The sequence below is a fragment of the Homo sapiens genome, chromosome 16 (genome assembly GCF_000001405.40).
Source record: "Homo sapiens chromosome 16, GRCh38.p14 Primary Assembly".
NCBI classification, from domain to species: domain Eukaryota; kingdom Metazoa; phylum Chordata; class Mammalia; order Primates; family Hominidae; genus Homo; species Homo sapiens.
Window position 1 is genome coordinate 53,198,647 of NC_000016.10, and position 21,030 is coordinate 53,219,676.

Here is a 21,030-nt window from a genome sequence, read left to right on the forward strand (position 1 = left end):
GAACTTCTTTCAAGCCTCAAAAAATAATTTCTATTCCATGTGATATTTTAAACGGACTGTCATGCAGTTCCTCTTCTTGTGTCCTTTTTCTCTTAAGTCAAACATGCTCAATTGTTAAAAATGTATGTAGGAATATTGAATCTTGTCACATAGATGTGTTCCTCTGTACAGATGGAATGGGAACGCCTAGGATATTTAAGGAAGCAGTTTTCTTAGTTCAGATTTCCTATAGATAAGTCTTTGATAGCATGGAATTATTGCCAATCCTAGTTTTCATTATTTTATAAGTCTTATAAAAATGTAAAAATCTTTTTAATTGGAATTTGCATTTGAATATAGCAGATGAAGATCTCTTTATTTTGCCACCAAACTTTTTTTTTTTTTCATTGAGAAGCATTACTCAGAGTTAGCCAAACTGCAAAGTTAGCACAGTCCCAAGACTGTCCTCACTTCTGACACCAGCTACAAGTTCTGGGGGTTCCCAAAAGTACCCTCAGTTTCAATAATTTGCCAGCAGGACTAACCAAACCCACTGAAAACTGTTACAGTCATAGTTACACTTTTATTACAAGGAATCTCCAAAATAGGACAGATGAGAGTTACTGTGCCTAGCCCCATAGATGGATTTTTATTGAAACCACTTAACAACTCTATATCTTAATATCTGATCCTGTTGCTTCTCTGTATATAGTCATTTATTGATTCCCTGATTCATTTAGCATATATTAATATATATTCATATAGACAAACATGTATATATATTTTGAAAATAAAAATTTCACCTTTTGTTTTACTTAAAGTCATGTTTTAAATTATTTTTAGGTTTTTAAAGTTTTATTTTTACAGATTTAGATACATAGATATTTGAATAGTGGTGAAGTTTGGGCATTTAGTGTACTCATCACCTATATAGTATACATTGTACCCAACTGGTAGTATTTCATCCCTGACTCTGCTGCCACCCTTCCACCTTTTAGAGTCTCCAGTGTCTGTTCTTTCACCCTGTATGTCTATGTATACCCATTATTTGGCTCCTACATGTAAGTGAGAACATGTAGTTTCCATTTGCTTCTTAACCTACTGTAGTGTGGCTTCCATCTCAGCTACTTCCATCTTGACCATTAAACTATTCTTACCATAAAACTGGAATATCTTACAGTACCAGAAAATAAGGAAGTGCTTGAAATACGGTGGGGTTATGAACACAGGAACCAACTTGAAGGAGCTGTAAATGGCCAAAGTTAGGACATTTTGAACAAGTAAGTAATCATAGTGTCAGATTATAAACCATAGAAAGAAAGTAATATCGGCTGGCACGGTGGCTCATGCCTGTAATCCTAGCACTTTGGGAGGCCGAGGCGGGTGGGTCACCTGAGGTCAGGAGTTCGAGACCAGCCTGGCCAACATGGCAAAACCCTGTCTCTACTAAAAATACAAAAACATGAGGCTGGGCACGGTGGCTCATACCTTTAATCCCAGCACTTTGGGAGGCTGAGGTGGCTGATCATGAGGTCAGGAGTTCGAGACCAGCCTGACCAACATGGTGAAACCCCATCTCTACTAAAAATACAAAAATTAGCTGGGTGTGGTGGTGTGCACCTATAGTCCCAGCTACTTGGGAGGCTGAGGCAGGAGAATTGCTTGAACCCAGGAGGCAGGGGTTGCAGTGAGCCAAGATCACACCACTGCACTCCATTCTGGGCAACAGAGCAATACTCTGTCTCAAAAAAAAAAAAAAAAAAAACCACAAAAATTAGCCAGGCATGGTGGCGGATACCTGTAATCCCCGCTACTTGGGAGGCTGAGGCATGAGAATTGCTTGAACCCAGGGAGTGGAGGTTGTAGTGAGCCAAGATTTATGAGTCTATATTGGTACAAATGAATGAATAAATTAAAAGGAAGAAGAGACAGCTCTTGTTTAGAGTAGAATTCCAATTGAAAATGTGGAAGGAATTATGGAAATAGAAACTTTCCATTAGGCAAATACCACAGTAATGATTGTTATGGGCAAGAATCAATGAATGCTAGAATTATTGGGCAAATGTATATGGGAAACAGGATATTTGCCTAGTCTCAAAATATCTTCCCATAAAATATGTATTAATTATAAAAAAAGACATTTACATGGAGAATAAATTGGCAGACACTACTTTAACCAAGTAACCAAGGGTAACATCACCAATAATAAGACACTGACATCATCTACTCTCTGATATGATGTACTGAGAAGAGCACAGTATCACATCACAGCAATAACAATAACCATACCTAATATCTCTCAGTATTTGTATGCCTGACACCATGCTAAAGCACTCTACAAGCATTATCTATTAGGTTTCACAAGAGCCCTATTAGATGAATACTGTTATTATCTACATTTTTACAGTTGAGGAAGCTGAGGCCCAGATAAATGATGGAACTGGAACCAGAACCCAGGGCTGGCTGGCTCAAAAACCCATGCCCTTAATCACAATGTTATGCTGAGAATAGCTTTAAGTATTGGGGATAATTTATGGACTGATAAATTCAGCATATTTAATGTTTTCAGCAAGTAGTGAACTTGGTGAGGTTTGTGATTTGATGTTTTAAAAATATACTTTTGACTTATTTGGAAGCAACAAGTTTGCTTGGAAAAGTACTGCATACTAATGTAAAATAGATTAAATACTATTTGTTTTTAGATCATGTATGACCTTTTTCTAAGCCAAAATATTTTATCAATTATTCTGGCATTTTTATCAAAACCACTTAGTACCCCTATGTCTTAAAGTGTGATCCTGTTCTCTCTATATAATCATTTATTAATTCCCTAATTCCTTCAGCATGAAGTCTAGATATTTTAACATAACCTATAACACCGTTGATAATCTAGTCTGTTATATTTTAGTCCTTGTTGCTTATCATTCTCCCACAGGCATCTCCTTTGCTTGTCATGCCAAACTACTTGTTATTCCAGAATATAAATTTTTAAATTTCTTTATTATATAGCATTTCAAGTGACACAGAAGTAGAATATCCATCTCCCAGCCACCAACAGCTGTCAATTTATATGGCCACTGTTGCATCTGTACTACCATCTAATGAATATAGCCACCCCCTCCATGGATATTTTTGAAGTACATCTTAGTCTTATCATTCATCTAAAAATACATTGATTTATACATCTAAAAGGCAAAAATTTGGGGGGATCAGTTTGAGGTTTTTTTTTTTGTTGTTGTTGTTGTTTTGAGACAGGGTTTTGCTCTGTCACCCAACCCAACTTGAGTACAGGGGCTAATCATAGCTCACTGCAACCTCAAGCTCCTGGGCTCAAGTAATCCTCCCACCTCAGCCTCCCAAGCAACTCGGACTACAGATGTGCACCATCACACTTAGCTAAGTTTAAATTTTTTTTTTTAAGAGATTGTGTCTTGCTATGTTGCCCAGGCTGGCCTTGGACTCCTGGCCTCAAGCAATCCTCCTGCCTTGGCCTCCCAAAGTTCTGGGATTACAGGCATGAGCCACCATGCCTGCATTAGATTTTTGTCTTTAAAACACAACTACAAAACCAGTTTCACACCTAAAAAAGATAACCATAATTCTCATATAATCAAATATCTGGTCAGGGTTTCTATTTCTCCAGTTGCTAAGTAAATTTATTTTTACAGTTGGCTGGTTCAGGCCAATATCTAAACTTAGAAAACATATAAACCAAATGCAATGCTCCACATGTTGCATTTTGTTGAGGTCTTTTAAGTTTCTCTCTCTCTCTTTTTTTTTTTTTCTGTTTTGTCATTCCAATTAGTCTTAAGTCTCATCTACTCTGTGGTTGCCCTTTTCTGTTTTGTTTCTTACAGTTTCTTTGTTGAAGAAATAGAGTCCTTTGTCCTATGGAGTTTCCTACACTCTGGATTTTACTGATTACATCCCCATTTTGCTGATTACATCTGGATTTTGTTGATTGCATTTAACAAGTTCCTTTTTTCCCTGTGCTTCCTGTAAGCTAGATGTACATTTGTATTTAAAAAAGAAACAAAACTTGTATGAACATCTACTGTTTGCCTGGACTTTTATGTGGATGCTTAAAATAAAGCCAACCCTTAAAAAGTATTACTGTATCAATGCAAATTAAGATTATGACACTTAAAAAAAAAAGGAATGTCATGGTTATCTAAAATTGTAAACCTGGGTACTACTGCGAGTCACAAGACGAAAATAAACCTTTTAATTTGTGAGCATGGTAGTTCACAGATGTGAAGAAAGTGAAGTGAAATAATTGTTCCACTTCCATGAAAAACTCTGAAAACAAATCTAAGGGTAAAATTCAGGAAAAGTTTGACATTATAATTTGCTCTTGGATCAGTTTTTTTCTCTTTTCTCTTTAAACATGTATTTATTGATAGTTTGAAGAAAAATGTTGTATGCATTAAATAAAAATCAAAAGAAGCCACCATACTAATGTTTGACACATATTACTAAAATTAACTACAAATCTATTGTTTTTAGGTTGATTTAATATGAATATTTAAGTAAATAATTATTATGCTTCTATTTTAAAAATAAGGAGACTAAAAACCAGTACACCAGCTTACAATAAACAATTTAAGAGAAGTAAAATGCCTTATTAAATTATCTTTATAATACCAAATTACTTTAAGATACTTTCCTTTTGACTGCAGAGGTTTTAATTCTTTCCTTTCTTGGCTTCCATGGCACCACTGTCTCCTGATACTTACCTTACCATTCTTGCATTTTCTTGTTGTTTTCCTTCAATAGCTCCTCTTCATCTGCTAGCTCCTGGAACTTGTTGTTTTTGGGTTTCACCACTGGTTCTCTTCTGTTATTCTACATTGTCTCTCTAGGCAGATAAACTCATTCTTGCTCAAGGCTTGCTATCTTCTGTTTTATGTCCTCTTCCATTGAAACTTCTATCCACCTAGTCCTCCAAGCCTAAAGCCTAAGAGTCTTCCTCTCTCTTGAGAAAGGTTGGGAGAATTTTAGCTACAATGCAGTTATATCTCTGTTGTTGAAAATTTATTGTTCTGTGTTTTATTTTTACTAAGGAATTATATCTGGGACCTTGCATTTCTTCATATTTTAAAAATATGTCAAGTAGAGCCAGGCGTGGTGGCTCACGCTTGTAATCCCAGCACTATGGGAGGCCAAGATGGGCAGATCACGAGGTCAGGAGATCGAGACCATCCTGGCTAACATGGTGAAACCCCGTCTCTACTAAAAATACAAAAAAATTAGCCGGGCGTGGTGGCGGGCGCCTGTAGTCCCAGCTACTCGTGAGCCTGAGGCAGGAGAATGGCGTGAACCTGGGAGGCGGAGCTTGCAGTGAGCCGAGATCACACCACTGCACTCCAGCCTGGGCGACAGAGCAAGACTCCATCTCAAAAAAAAAAAAAAAAAAAAAAAAAATATATATATACACACACACACACACACACACACACACATTTATGTCAAGTAGAATGTTTCTTTATCTAGATAACGTGTGTGTGTGTGTGTGTGTGTGTGTATAACCTTCACCACCCCAGCCTGCCAGGAGAGGAACCTGTTCTCTGAGTGTACAGTGGTCATGTGATCATTTTTCCCTTCTCTTTTTGAAAATTTATAATTTCTACTTATATCCACACACTAGTGATCCAGTAATTTTATTAATACAACTGAAATATTGGAAATGGAGGAATTTCCCAATATGGCTGTTGGTTACATGTGAAATTATTTCACCAGAGGAGAAAGGACCTAAGTCCCCACTCAGATTTTAAAACCTCTAATTTCTTGCCCAAATCTCTTCGCTTCTTTTCCTCATGAAGGAAAAGGCGAGTAACAGGTAGTGTGAAAAATTATAATTTTATTAGAGGCATGAAGTGCATGCATAAGGGTCTGACACTATCCTCTTCTACTCTATTTGTTTTTTTGTTTTTGTTTTGTTGTTGTTTTTTTAGTAGTTGTCTGGACCCTTTAAATGTGTATCATGACTTGCTATTAGGTCATGACCTGTCTTTGACAAACACTTATACTATAAATCTTTGAGTTTCCCCAGTACTGAAATATGATATATAGAGTCTTCCATATATTCCTTCCAGGTGCTATCAAAATAACATATCACATATGATATCATCTCTTGTACTATAGGTTTTCTTTTTTAATGAATATTTGGATATGATATTAATATATGTGCCTTTTATGTATTTTTTTGTTTATATGTTTGTTTGTTTATTTGTTTTGAGACAGAGTTTCGCTCTGTTGCCCAGGCTAGAGTACGGTGGCATGATCTCAGCTGACTGCAACCTCCACCTCCTGGGTTCAAGCGATTCTCCTGCCTCAGCCCCCTGAGTAACTGGGATTAGACGTGCGCCACCATGCCCAGCTAGTTTTTGTATTTTTAGTAGAGATGGGGTTTCACCATGTTGGCCAAGCTGATCTAGAACTCCTGACCTCAAGTGATGCATCCACCTTGGCCTCCCCAAGGCTGGGATTACAGGCATGAGCCACCGCGCCCGACCTATTATTTTAATCATACAAGCTCATGGGGAGCAAGGCCTGTGACTTTATTTTAAATTTTTAAATACTTTGTATTTTGAAACTTATCACACTTACAGAAAAATTGCAAGCATAGTACAAATAAATTATTTTACTCCATTTGAATAGGGTGCAGACCTAGTAATCCATCATCCCCAAAGACTTTGGTATATGTTTTCTACAGATCAGAACATTTCCTACATAACCACAGTATAACAAGTAGAAAGTTAATAAAGCAGGAGCTGTGGGGACTTAGAAGAGGAAAAAAACCAAAAATACAATTAAGTAGATTTGGCAGAATTTGATGACTGCTTAGATGGTGGGGGGAAGGGCAGAAAAACCATAACATTGTATGTTTGTGTGTGTGAATTGGGAAATGACCAACATTAAAAATGTTCAGTTACTTAACACCTCTGTTGATATTCTGTGGGAATATGGTTTTAAAATGCTGTATTCTAGTAGCAGAGGAAATATTTCATCATAGATTTATTAAGGTTTATTAAACAGTTGGGATTCTGAGTCAGGTAGTAGAATCTATTGAAAAACTTTATAAGAGAAGTGAGTTGTTTTGGAAATCCTCTTAGGTTCTTTGAATAGTGTCAGTGAATTATAAGGGTAATGGAAGAAAACAGCAGGAGGATCTGCATCTTACATTCCAGCCCTGACTTCTCTCTCTGATGATCCAGTCCCAAATTTCAAATTGCTAGAGATCTCCATTTCAAACTCAGTATGAAAAGAATTAAACTTGTTATACACACATACACATTCTTTCTCAACTAGGTTTCCTATTTCTTTTACTTTTTTTTTTAAATTAAGACAGAGTTTCACTCTTGTTGCCCAGGCTGGAGTGCAATGGCATTATCTCTGCTCACCACAACCTCCGCCTCCCAGGTTCAAGCAGTTCTCCTGCCTCAGCCTCCTAAGTAGCTGGGATTACAGGCATGCACCACCAGGCCCAGTTAATTTTGTATTTTTAGTAGAGGCGATTTTTCCTCCATGTTGGTCAGGCTGGTCTCGAACTCCCGACCTCAGGTGATCCGCCCACCTCGGCCTCCCAAAGTGCTGGGATTATAGGCATGAGCCACCACACCTGGCCTTCTTTTACCTTTTCTTGGTCGAGAAACCAAGTGCTGGCTCTTCCTGCTCCTCAGCCATGCCTCACCTCTGTCTAGTTGATTTCTACACTTTTGAAAGGGCACCGGGAAAAAAAAAAAAAAACCATCCTAGCCTTATTATTTGGTATCTCTGCAATTTTGAGAATGTTACTACTTTCCTTTGTCCTCAAATTAAACTCTGTAAATTATGATAGTTGAACCAAACATGATTAAAATATAATGGTTAAGAGTGTGGTCTCCCTAACAAGACCCCCTTGTCTTTTAATCCCTGCTCCACTATTCAGTAGCTGTGTGATCTTGGGCAAGTCATTTCTCTATCCCCCAGTATCCTCATATAAAATGGGAATAACAGTAGTACCTATCTTACAGGGTTGTTCTGAAGATTGAGTCAATATATAGGAAATATTAGGAATAGTGCCTGGTACATAGTAAGCACTACATTTTAGCTCTTATTGTCATAATGATTTTTGTAATTGTTTGCTCTCTCAGTTCCATTCTGTCTCTTTGTAATGCTACTATCAGAGTATTTCTCTCATTAGCCAGCCCCTTGTCTCCATTATCACTGTTATTACCCTATTATTAATCAGGATTACATTAGTTATTAAATGTAAAATAGAATAATCCCTGGCACTTAGTAAGTAGTCTGTAAGTGTTATCTCATTATTGTTATTATTTTCACATTGATGACATCTCAAGTCAGATCCTTTCCTCGTCCTTACTTGTCCTCTGCCTTTAATCTCTCATGCCATCCAGATGGGTCTTTCTAGAGCCCTGTTTAGATAGTGTTGTTTCTGTTTTGAGGCCTTTGGTACCTAAAAGGGGCAGAGGGGAGAACCCAATGTTGTTTTATAGTGATATCAGATGACTAACCAGGACCAACTGAAAAAATGGCATTGATGAAAGAGGTAAACTTGAATTTTAAAGCAGTGAAATTTTGTTTTAGTGATTTAAGGGCATTGCTTACTAAAATAGAATCAATTTTTATAGAAAGAAAAGTTGTACTGATGTTCAAATTCAAGTTGACTTGCTATGGAACTAAACCTACAGTTTTACCTGAAAAACTCATCAGTGCAGTTAAAATAGAAGGTTAGGAGGAAAGGTCAGAAAGGTTTTTTATGTTACGAAAAAAATGTATTCATCCATGTTAAGACGATGAAACAATTTTAACATTGTTAGTAATCTTTATAAACAGTTCTCATTTGTTCATTTCAAAATTTTAAGCTTCTTTTTATAATTCAAATGAAAATAGCTTCATTTCTGTATTTTCAAAATAACACTGTTAGCTTTTTGTTAGAAAAATTATAAGAAACCTTATCTAACTTCTTAAACTTATTTTGGGTTCATTTGCATGACCTCTTTAACCCTTTGCTAATCTTCAGCTATTTCATATTTTAAATATTTTAGAGTATCTTGGAGAAAAGTATTTTTTTCCAATAAAAATTGCTTTAGATTTTGTTTTTTTAAAATATTGATAGCCACATAATGCCATTTTACCACAGTTTAGTTCTCAGGTGATTTTTTTTTTTAATCAGATTTTTATGTATATTTTTTAAAACTTTACTGCAGGAAATGGCAGAGTGAGAGTTAATGTGTTACATGGAGGGAAGAACAGTCCATTGGGGGTTAAATTGCAGAGTCTAATGGAATAATAACTGGTAGCACCATCTGCTGGCCTACTTCCGCAGAAGGAGTCAGTATTTTTAACGACATCTCTAATATTCATGCTGATGCATTTTGATGCTTTGTGCATTCATTTCTTTCTGTGCTTTGTTGGAATCTGGCTATCTGCTTACAGCTATTGAGGAAACTCAGCTTTTTAGGAGTGTTTACAGCCTTTTTCATACCTAAATAGGATGAACAGTAGATATAAACTTGCCAAGGCAGAAATGTGTTGATAAATCAAAATGTGTATTTGTGGAGGGTTGTGCATCTCTTGGTTGCAGCTTGCTAAATAGGCCATTTAGGAATCTTCTTTCAATGCTTTTTTCTTGAGCACTGCCTGGGGTGGTGAAAAAGCAGAGGGCAAGCCTTTGTCTGACGCCAAAAATGTCTTCAGTGAAGAGGCCAAGAGGAAGGGTAAGTGAAAGCCTGAATGAGTGGGAGGAGGAGGGGTTCTTTGGGCTAAAAGGCTAATGGGATTGAATAACCTTCCTTATTACTGGCTGCTGCTACGGGAGTCGTACTGCATCGCCATCTTGAGCTTGTTGCTGTTTCCTCGAGTCTTGGTTATTTGTTATAGCCTGTAGGCCTTAAGGTGGCATTTTAGTGAGCAATTCTAAACCCTCCTTCCTTTCCCAGTGCTGCAGTGCTGCTATGAAACCTTTGATGAGGCAGGTATAGAAAAAATATCCAGTGAAGCACACTGGAATCAGCATGAAAATGTGTTTGGAAATTCCTGATGGTTTTTTCCTTTGGTATAGTCAGAGGCATGTTTACGGGTAAGAACATAACAAAACTGTGATCTAAGTATATGTGGATGAATGCGTGTTTGAAGAGGAAATTCTTTTTAAAATGCTCTTGATCTGCTTCCTGTGATATTGCTAAATATTAATAATTTTAATGTAAAACTGTAAAACTTGTTTATTTCCCAAATTGCTTGAGCAAAATAATTATGATATAGAAAAAGAAAAAAAATTTTCACATTTAACTCTTTCATGGGAAAACTAAAACTTTCTCTAATTTTAAGTATGAGAATGTCTGTTTACTAACTAGCTATGTTGCTGCACTTAAATATTAAATGATTTCAGGTTGTAGTCGTAAAGCAGAGGTTTTATTTTTCTAAAAGCCATAATAAACTGTATGGAGTAATTCTAAATTAAAATTATTTAAAAATTTATTAATGTTCAGAATTTTGGAGGGAAGAGGAAAGAAAAGACTTTTATTCCAAATGCACAGAATATTTATGGGATAAAATTTGAATCAACTATCTTTACAGGACAAAACTTGAATCAACTAACCAAGAATGCTATGAAAATATCAATGAATCTATATTATTCTTCTTTAACCTTCATTTTTAAAAGTAGCAATTGAGCTGTTTATATCTGTACTAATTTCTTGATAAGCAAAATGTTTTAAATTTGTTTGTAGCACTCACATATTTGCTAATGTAATTTTACCTCTCTAAACATAATTTAAGATTTTCAGATATTTGTGACAATTGTTTTAGATGTACTTTGGTATATTCTATAAAAAATATTTTTGTTTCTGTAGCCTCCATCTTCCAAGAAGAGCGATGGTTCTGGGACATATACTAAGTTGCAGAATACCCAGGTGAGGGTCATGTCTGAGAAGAAGCAGAGAAAAAAGGTGGAATCAGAAAGCAAGCAAGAAAAGGCTAATCGTATAATATCAGAGGCCATAGCAAAAGCAAAGGAGCGTGGGGAACGCAATATTCCACGAGTAATGAGCCCTGAAAACTTTCCTACTGCTTCAGTTGAAGGAAAAGAGGAAAAGAAAGGTAGAAGGATGAAATCCAAGCCAAAGGACAAAGACAGCAAAAAAACAAAAACATGTTCTAAGTTAAAAGAGAAGACAAAAATTGGGTAAGTTGGTTAAGAATTAAATTTAATTCCTTTCAATGTTCTGTTAAAGTTCAAACTGTCCAACCATCTACTTTTGATTTGAGTATATTTACTCCCATATTTGAGTTTTAAATTGTTGGCTACTATGTGTGCTTTATTTCATTGCCGAATGAATTAGATAATATTCCAGGATCTCCCAAATTTTATGGTTCTATGAATGTAGAATGTAGCTTTTTGTATGTTAATATTATTAAAAGGGATTTAAAGTAGTAAAATATTTCAGTATACGAATCAGGAAAAGGATAAAAACAAACAAAATGAAATCCATATTGCTGTGCCAGTTTCATATTCACTTTCTTTACAGAGCATGCATTGAAATTCTTTATAAGATTCTTTTTCTCTTGGTTGTACTTGTGCCTCACTGAGCACTCATAGTTTGGAAACATGAAATGTAATATTTTCTTAATAAAACCACAACTTTGGACTGAATGAAATGGCAAAAAAAAAAAAAAAACACTAATACCATATAAATCAACAATAAGTGGTTGCCAGTTCTTACTGATTTACTTCCATATAGTCTGATTTACTTTACGTAATAAAGAGGCCAGGTGAGGATTAATGCTCCAAGAGAATTATAAGGACAAAGAATTGCTCTAGGAGGATATATTAATCCTATGTATTTTACTGCTTATCCAAAATATTTTCAAAAAATAAAATACAGTAAATGTTATAATTTGCTTTATAGGTGTATTTGCTTAGCATGCAAGGGTAAGCATAACTAAGCCAACATAGTTTAGAATTGTTTTTTCAGGACTGGTTATTTTTGAGGACTTCATGTGGAAATTTGACATAAAGGGGTCAATCTAACTTTTCTCTTTTTCACAAAAAGTCCGCAATAAAGAATGTCTTTATTGTGAAAATCTTCATTTGCTCAGAAATTGTTGATATATTATATAGATATTTAGAACTAATGCAATTTTATAAATCAAATGAATTCTTAGCATTTTAAATGTAACCGCCAAATTATTTAGTTTGGTCCTTATGTCATTCAGGTCCAAACGATTAAATAATATGGGCTCTCTTGTTATAATAGATTAATAATCATATTGATTTTGCATTTTACTTGCAGACAGCTAAAATGAAATTTGAAAGATTTCTACTTCTTTTATTGTTTTTTTAGAGGTTTTAGGTATGAAAGTAACTTATTTTTCCAAAGCTCTGCCCAGTTTTAATTCAGGAAATCCCATATTTAGTCTTTTGCTGAACCAAAATTTAATATAATTAAGGGTTTCCAGTTTTAACTTGTTCAGAGATCTAGACAGAGTAGAATACTATTTGGAAGAGTAACGTTTTGAAAAACAATGCATAAAATGAGGAAATTGGTTGATAAACTTTTAAAAGTTACACTAACCGTTACTTGCCTCAAACTTGGGAAGGAACAGCTAAAGGCAAAAGATACCAGAAGTAAATCTAGTTTAAGAAAAAACATTGTACATAAGAGATAACTAGAAATAATTAAATTAGAAACACAGATTTTTAGAAAAGTGAATTAATATAGTAAGGGGAGTAGTAACACTGAAGCGGAGTACTGACTAGTTTTGTGATATCTGTGTTTTTGTTAGGAGTAGGTAAATTATTCATAGTAAATTATTTTAATATTGCACAACATTGACCAATTTTTCTAGAGGTAGCAAATTCTAGAAAACAAAATCGATAAGAATTGTACTAGAAATTTTTTTTTGTTTTGGCTAAATACATGGTAAAATATTGAGTAGTTGCTAGAAAAGAAAAATTGTTGAAAATATAGGCCTTTTTGATAGAAGAATTTATAAGTCGCAGGCAGATAAGTGAATTGATAGAAGAATTTATAAGTCGCAGGCAGATAAGTAGTATTGAAGTTTGCATATGTATTACTAAGCTGTTAGAGTAAAACAGTGTCAATCATTTATATCAGTCAAAGACAAAAATTATTGTCATGTTGGAGGAAAAGGCATAGTTGGAATAAATGAAATTCATATACAATCCAGAATTCCAGTATTAGCCAATGAAATATTTCATTACTGTGCTTTCCAATAAGCCACTATACTTTGTAATTTTGAATTTGGTGAGTTTTAAATTTTTGAGTGAAGAATCATTTAAGTAAAGTTCAGTTGCATCATTTCAACTAGCACCATTTTATAATTAAACATCTCATTTAAAATTTTTTATTTTTCTATTAATTTTAGGACAATTGGGCTGTTCCTAATACCAAATTATTGATATTAGTTAATTTGGAAAGCAGTGCAACTTAATCAACAGCAGTGTAAAATATAAATTTTAAAATTAATGGCTGGGCGCGGTGGCTCATGCCTGTAATCCCAGCACTTTGGGAGGCCGAGGCGGGCGGATCACGAGGTCAGGAGATTGAGACCATCCTAGCTAACACCGTGAAACCCCATCTCTACTAAAAATACAAAAACAAAATTAGCCAGGCGTGGTGGTGGGCACCTGTAGTGCCAGCTACTCGGGAGGCTGAGGCAGGAGAATGGCGTGAACCTGGGAGGCAGAGGTTGCAGTGAGCCGAGATTGCACCACTGCACTCCAGCCTGGCTGACAGAGCGAGATTCCATCTCAAAAAAAAAAAAAAAATTTTTTTTAAAGTAACTAAATTTGTAAACAATAATTTATGGTTGATGTCATCAGGGTTGGTGTTTATTTAACCCATATATGTGATTTGATGTAATCTAGGAAGACTAATCTGAAGAAAAGCAATACTGCCCCTGCTTGCTAATGTGCTTGAAACCTTTTCGTTGTCACTTTTACAGATTAACTTTTTTTCCAATGCAAAGAATAGAATGTCCTTTTCGGAGCACTTTCTTAGAGTCTCATTTCATTTTTACAATTCTGTGAGTTAGAGTGGGCATACAGTGTGATAATGGGGTTAAATTCTTTGCCTCTGGAGCCAGTTGCATTTGTTCAGATTCCAGTTTCATCACTTACAAGCAGTGTAATCCTGTACAAAAAGCTAACATCCTCATGCTTTAGGTTCCTCCTCTGTAAAATGGGGATAGGATAGTACTTGCCTCATAGTGTTATTTTGAAGACTAAATCAATTAATATACAAAATAGTATCTGGAATATGCTTAGTGTTCAGTAAATGTTAGTCATTATTGTTTTCTGACAACATAAATAGCATAGCTATTTAAGGAAAAAGCCAAGGCCAGGAGCCACACCCCTTCCTTCAAGCCCACACTCATTCAGCTACCTCAGTTCTCTTTCCATTAAGGCTCTGTTCCTAAATAAGATCAGCTTAAAAATTAAGCAGGAAAACACAGTTGCTACTTGTTAAGGGGAATAATAGATTAACTTATTAATGGCTATTTTGACATGACCATGCCTCTGTTGATCAGGTTAGCTAAAGTAGCATTTAGGATAGATACAGTTTGAAATGTGTCTGGAGTTTGAAGGAGTTGCTTGTGGCTATGTGGAAGGGTGTGAGTTGAAATGGAAATGGCAGGTGCAAAATGAAGGGTGAGGTAGGCCTGGAAAACTTTTATCTGCTTTGGTGTTTTTTATGATCTTGGCAGTCAGGTTCTAAAAGCTGCCTTTCATACAAAATAGTGAGTATTCCTTCAGTAATAGTAGGTACATAATAGATGCTCCATGAATGGAATGGGATGAATTTTATGGGATGGATGGATGGATGGAAAGAAGGTTAAATATTAAATGATACCAAAGGGTTGAACTTGATCTGTTAAATTGAAAACAGAAATGGAGGCTAATCCATTCATAAAACCACAGGGATATAACTAATAGTTTAGTAATATTAGAGAGTTAGGATGAATTTTACTGATTTATTTTAGAATCTAGGACTTCCAGTAGAATTTTCTTATGGCCCTGTTTGGTTTTAGATTATCGAATGGGATTTCACATGATTCGATAGAAGTATTTTTAAACCTATGATTTATTACTTTGACATTTAAATTATGTTTCCATGTTGTCAGTTGGAATTTACTTCTGTTATAGATTTTCTGGCTGACATAAGTAGAATGCTTTTGGTTACTTAAAAATGTTTTCATAGCCCTGTAAATTTAATCAATTATTGTCCTTTATGATTAAACTCTTCCTTTTTGTATTAACCATAATTATCCTTTGTATGTGTTACAGGAATAGTAGTTATCAGGTACTACAAATAACTTCTAGTTAAAACAGAACATGTCTAAATTTGGAGATATTTATCAAACTCTAGTAGGAATTAAGTATAAGTCATGTTATGAAGAAAAACAATAAAACATTAATTTAGATCTCAAAATGATATTGTGTCTGTATTTGCCTCCAAGAAGAAAGGAGGAAAATAACATTTGTTAATTACGTGCTATCATATATATGTACATACATGCATAGGTGTGTATTTTTAACAAAACTAGCATCTATGTCCACATGTATGTCTTTAGAGAGACATTCTTATCTATAAAAATCTAAAGGAAAAATAAGATGAACAAAATCTGAGGGAAAAATAAGACATATCATTAGAAATTGTCACTTCATAGTTCTTGTTAATAAAGTGACGTATGAAGCCCTGCTTGCAAGGTTTTCAAAATAATAGGAATTTTGAAATAATATATGCTCGAATTAAATATAAATGTGTTAATTGTTTATTGGTGTATGATAAACGAAAGAGCAGTTGTCAAAATGCATGGTTTAAATTTATTATGAATTTTTTATTATTAGGCATACCATTAGTAGTCTCCCTGTAAGTTCTACGGTTTTTTTAAAGCCAAGCAGATAAAATGTTTTGCTGATTTTACTGCTTGCATGTAAATTACAAAACTTAGTAAAAATCTGAAGCATCTTTATCCTCAGAAAGAGTTGATATGTATGTAACTTATTGCGAATTTCAAATAAGATTTACAGTTTCATTTTTAAGAATGGTACCTTTATATGAATCATGCTAGTAAGGTTTATCATTGACAAATAGATGTACCATATTTTATTGAATCTAAAGTGTCATTGATTATAAAACAGACACACCATTAATTTTATGTGTCAGTAGAAGACAAATATTGCCAGTTAAAACTATGGCATGTCATTGATTATTAAATGATTCCTGATTGCAGAGATGTTCGTAAAAAACAATATATATCTTTTTTTTTTTTTTTTGAGACGGAGTCTCACTCTGTCTCCCAGGCTGGAGTGCAGTGGCACATCTCCGCTCACTGCAAGCTCCGCCTCCCAGGTTCATGCCATTCTCCTACCTCAGCCTCCCAAGTAGCTGGGACTACAGGTGCCCGCCACCACGCCCGGCTAATTTTTTGTATTTCTTTTTAGTAGAGATGGGGTTTTACCGTGTTAGCCACGATGGTCTCGATCTCCTGACCTCGCGATCCGCCTGCCTCGGCCTCCCAAAGTGCTGGGATTACAGGCATAAGCCACCGTGCCCGGCCAACAATACATATCTGTTAAGAATTCAACTGTGCTGATAAATGTATTGGCTGATTAATACGTAGCTAACAACTTGGATCCTTATTTCTTACTTACATTAAATACATCAGTAAATTCAGCCTTTCTGAAAAAGGATGTCCAACTTTAAACAGGAAGTAATAGTCTAAGTTCCCAAAAGCTTATAATACAATGTAACTTTCGCATATTTAAGGATTACAGTTTTAACTCCCTTTTAATACATGCTTGTTTTTCTAAGATGAGTTTAAGCTTGGGGTCTTGAGTTGAACTTTAAATGGGCATCATTTCACTGAGCGTGTGTATGTGTGTGTGTGTTTTGAGTTTATATTTGAGGACTTAAAAATAGGCTCAGTACCTTTCACTGAGCTTGCAAAGAAAAAATAATGTGACATTATATTTTTGCCTTTTTTTTCTCTTATGATGAATTGGATGTATTAATTACAACAAATGGACTAATTGGGTAAGATTCATTGTTTGTCCAATTATTGGAATGAGAGAATCAACAGGGGGCAATTACAGATTGATGCAGTGTAGAACACAGCTTGTTGCACAGCAAGTAGTACTAACACTTGGGCAGGATTGAAATAAGTGCATAAATTACATCTGAAAATCAAATATAGACATATTAAGTATAAACATTGTGGTTTTCTACTGCCTATACTTATCAAATGAATTTACATTTCAAATTCATACTTTAGTTTGAAATTGCCCTTTGCTGTCAGAAACATCCTATGTTTTGATATTTAGGTTTTTTCCTTGCCTGAGTATCTGTTGCTACATTTTGCTAACATTGATAACAGATCCTTTTAATGTTTTCAAGACCAAAATTTGCATAAAGCTTTTTATTATTAATATATTCTGTATCACTTTGTTGCTTTCTTTGGGGATATTTCTCCTTAGACTAGCAAACTATCAGTTTATTTGAAGCATGTATTTATAATGAAATTTTATTTTAGAATTAATATAGTAAACTCTTTGTAATCCATGATGGAAGAATGGAGTGTTCTATAGCAATTGGGTGTTTTGCTTAACTGATTTTATTTTTTCTGCTACTGAAACATCTGATTTCCTTCAGATAACATTTATGGCTATCTGTTGTCATTGTATACATAATAGAGATTTCTGATTTTATGAAAGTCAGGTAAATTTTAATCTTTAAAATTTACTAAAAGATAATATAGTTTCATATTTCTCTTTTGTCATTATGTTAATTGATATTAGATATCTGTTAACTGGTTGGAGTATATGTGTCATTTTATTTTAAAATCAATAAGGTATGTTGGAACTCATAATCTGAGAATAAAGGGATCATCTTTTGGAACTGAACACTGCCTGTCTGTATGGTGGGACCAATACCTACCTGCCTTGCCTGTCTCAGAGTTTTTCTCAGAATCAACTGAGGTACTGTAGGCAAAAGCACTTTAAAATTTTAAGTGTTCTATAAATATAAAATAGTTGTATTATTCTGAATATTTGTTTCTAGAGTTTTCTATACTAATTTTTACTCTCCGAGCCAGTGGTTCCCAAACCTGGTAGAGCACCAGAACTCTTAGGGAATATTTTAAAAGTCATATTAGAGTCGTTTTTAGATCAGAATCCTGGGTTTGGGACCCACAAAACTGGATGGGTTATTTTTTTCTTACTTTTATTTTGAAGTAATGTCAGAAGTACAAAAATAGGTCAGAGTTCCCTTAAGCTCTTCACTCACCTTCCTCAAATGTTAACATCTTATGAACCATAGCATGATTATCAAAACCAGGAAATAAACATTTTAATAATCCTGTTAACCAATCTGCAGACCTCATGCAAGTTTTGTCGGTTCCCCTTTTTTTGTTGGCCAGGATCCAATTCAGGATCCTACATTTCATTTTGTTGTCATATCTCCTTAGTCTCCTTCAATTTAGGATAGCTCCTCAGACTTTTTTCTTTTATGATGTTTTCATTTTTGTAACATACTGGCCAGTTATTCTGTAGAATGTACATCAATTTGAGTTTGTTGGGCATTTTCTCATAAAGAATCTGTATTTTATTTTATTTTTGAGACAGAGTCTTGCTTTGTCGCCCAGGCTGGAGTACAGTGGTGCAGATCTTGGCTTACAGCAACCTCTGCCTCCCAGGTTCAAACGATTCTCCTGCCTCAGCCTCCCAAGTAGCTGGGATCACAGACATGTGCCATCACGCCTAGCTGATTTTTGTATTTTTAATAGAGATGGGGTTTCGCCATGTTGGCCAGGCTGATCTTGAACTCCTGACCTCAGGTGATCCTTTCTCCTCGGCTTCCAAAAGTGCTGGGATCACAGGCGTGAGCCACCACACCTGTCTAGAATCTGTATTTTAAATAGCTTTCATGAAGCTTTCCCCAAACACTTAGGCACTGCTGATCTGACACCAACCTAATTAATTGTGCCTCTGTAATATTACCTAGATACCATTTTAGAATCTATAATAAATTGGTAAGGTTTACAGTTTTCAAGGTTCATTGTAAATAACCCTATTTCTAAAATCTCTCTCTCTAGATAGATAGATCATTTTATTTAAAAAAAAATTATAATATTTTAGAAATAGGGTTTTACTTTGTTTCCCAGGCTGGCCTCGAACTCCTAGGCTCAAGTCTTCTCCCACTTCAGTCTACCAAGTAGCTAGAACTACGGGTGCATACCACTGCGCCTGGCTTATACTCTTTTCTTTCTTTCTTTCTTTCTTTCTTTCTTTCTTTCTTTCTTTCTTTTTTTTTTTAATTCAGAATTACTGGGGTTTTTTAAAATCTAATTTTAAAATGCCACCCAAATTAACCCAGAATTGTATCAGTCAAAAATGATTTCAGAATTGACTTTTTTCCTATCATGGAAACGTACCCTTTTTAAATAGAAAAGGCACGTGTAACATTTTGGATTTAGAAGGTTTAGTAGGGAAATACTATATATCTGAAATATCTCTTACAAAGTTAGAATCTGAAAACGATTTTTGCATGGGTTGTTAAAAATGACTAATGAGTTCATGAAATAAGATGCTATTCCAGACATGTAGAACAATGTTGGAAGAATAATACAGAATATGTGGAAAATAAAGTGAAAGTTGTTTTTTTGTTTTTAAGTAAAATTTTCAAATAATTAGTATAACAAAAGGCTTATCTGAGGTGTGATGGGAAACATTTTTATCTAACCTAACCCCACCACTCAAAAGGGCAAGTGTTTAAGATTTATTTGGTAGTTAGTATTTATTTATTAGTATTTTCTAGAGATTTAGGTAATATTTATCTATAAAAATGTTTAAGCAGCTTAGTCCTTTGTCCTTAGAGAATCTTCATTTAATCATTAACCCTTATGCTATTGTAAAGGAATAGCGGAACCAGTTCATAGTCATTTGTAAATTTTAAAAAAATTTAAATATCTCCGCCTCTCATTTCATTGAAGTTTTTATTCATTGGGATTTGAATGAATAAGATATTGCATCAGAATGTGCATTCACGTAATTCATTTAGCTTATCAAACATTGAAAAAATACCTTTTTAAGCAATATATGAAGGGTATTAATAGGCCATGATTTCCATTTCATGGGAGATTGTTATTTAAACAACTACACTCTCCGTGTGTTGTTCTCATCTACAAACTATTTGAAAATACACATTTAAGTTGGAGATTGATAGCAAGTAGGAGGAAGTATCAAATATGTATTTTTACTACCCAGTTTTATTTAGTATTGTCCCTTACTTTGCCATTAAAAATCATCTGCACCAGTGCCTTAGGATGTAGCAAATATTCACAAGCAAAGTAACGGATACCCTTAGGAGGCGGTTCGTACTGGGAGAGGCATGAGAGGGGACTTCTGGGAAACTAATGCCTTGTTTCTTGATCTGGAAGCTGGCTACACAGATATTTTCTGTTTGAGAAAATTGAGCAGTACTCTTACGTTTGCACTTTTCTGACTTTGCATTACACTTTAATATTAGTAAACTTGCACTGATAGGGTTACGGAAAATGAGAGATTGGATTGGGTGCATATTGAGGTTGTGATACCTATGAGATACCCATATGTATATGTGTAATAAGCAATTAGTTATATGAACATGAAGCGTGGGGAAAAAATCTGAAATAGAGATAAGAGATTTGAGGATCTTTAACTTCTAGGTAGTAGTTAAGAAAAGATTAAATTAAATCTCTCAGGGAGAGACAGGAAGGCGGCTGAAGACAGAACTTTGAGAGAAACCAAAGTTTAACAGGCTAGCAGAGAAGAATTGTCAATGACTGAATCCTACGGAAAACTAACATTCAAGGCGTAGATGCAGGAAGAAGAGCCAAAATTTAGTAAAAGCAAGTTTAGTGAGAACCAGAAGACTCTTGTGTCAGGGAGCCAAGAAAGGGGCCAAAAGGAAACAGTTACACGTTAGGACTTAGTTACACATTATGATTTTTTAAAGCTCTGTTGGATTTGCCATTTTAAAAGTC

At 34.8% G+C, this 21,030-nt stretch overlaps 1 protein-coding gene across 42 annotated transcripts in view, besides 2 other annotated features; it reads left to right on the top strand.

The window, feature by feature from the left end:
* The window catches only part of CHD9 (chromodomain helicase DNA binding protein 9), a 272,507-nt gene that overhangs the window by 143,656 nt on the left and 107,821 nt on the right, over positions 1 to 21,030 (top strand). For 24 of the 42 annotated variants that reach the window (XR_007064921.1, XM_047434693.1, XM_047434692.1 and 21 more), the window contains one exon: positions 10,836 to 11,167. Coding sequence is in view for 41 of the 42 variants with exons in the window: in XM_047434693.1 (XP_047290649.1) it covers positions 10,836 to 11,167 (332 nt within the window). In the remaining variant the exon portion in view is untranslated. Of the gene's footprint in view, positions 1 to 9,318; positions 9,702 to 9,804; positions 10,064 to 10,835; positions 11,168 to 21,030 lie in introns of those variants that run through there. The other 18 variants (XM_047434707.1, XM_047434703.1, XM_047434699.1 and 15 more) reach the window with 3 other exon arrangements.
* Positions 9,189 to 9,778: an enhancer, noted in NCBI's record as "NANOG-H3K27ac hESC enhancer chr16:53241747-53242336 (GRCh37/hg19 assembly coordinates)". NCBI's record gives its function as "activates a minimal SCP1, AML or CMV promoter by ChIP-STARR-seq in primed H9 embryonic stem cells {active_cell/tissue: H9 hESC(primed)}" and the evidence as "EXISTENCE:reporter gene assay evidence [ECO:0000049][PMID:30033119]".
* Positions 9,779 to 10,366: an enhancer, noted in NCBI's record as "NANOG-H3K27ac hESC enhancer chr16:53242337-53242924 (GRCh37/hg19 assembly coordinates)". NCBI's record gives its function as "activates a minimal SCP1, AML or CMV promoter by ChIP-STARR-seq in primed H9 embryonic stem cells {active_cell/tissue: H9 hESC(primed)}" and the evidence as "EXISTENCE:reporter gene assay evidence [ECO:0000049][PMID:30033119]".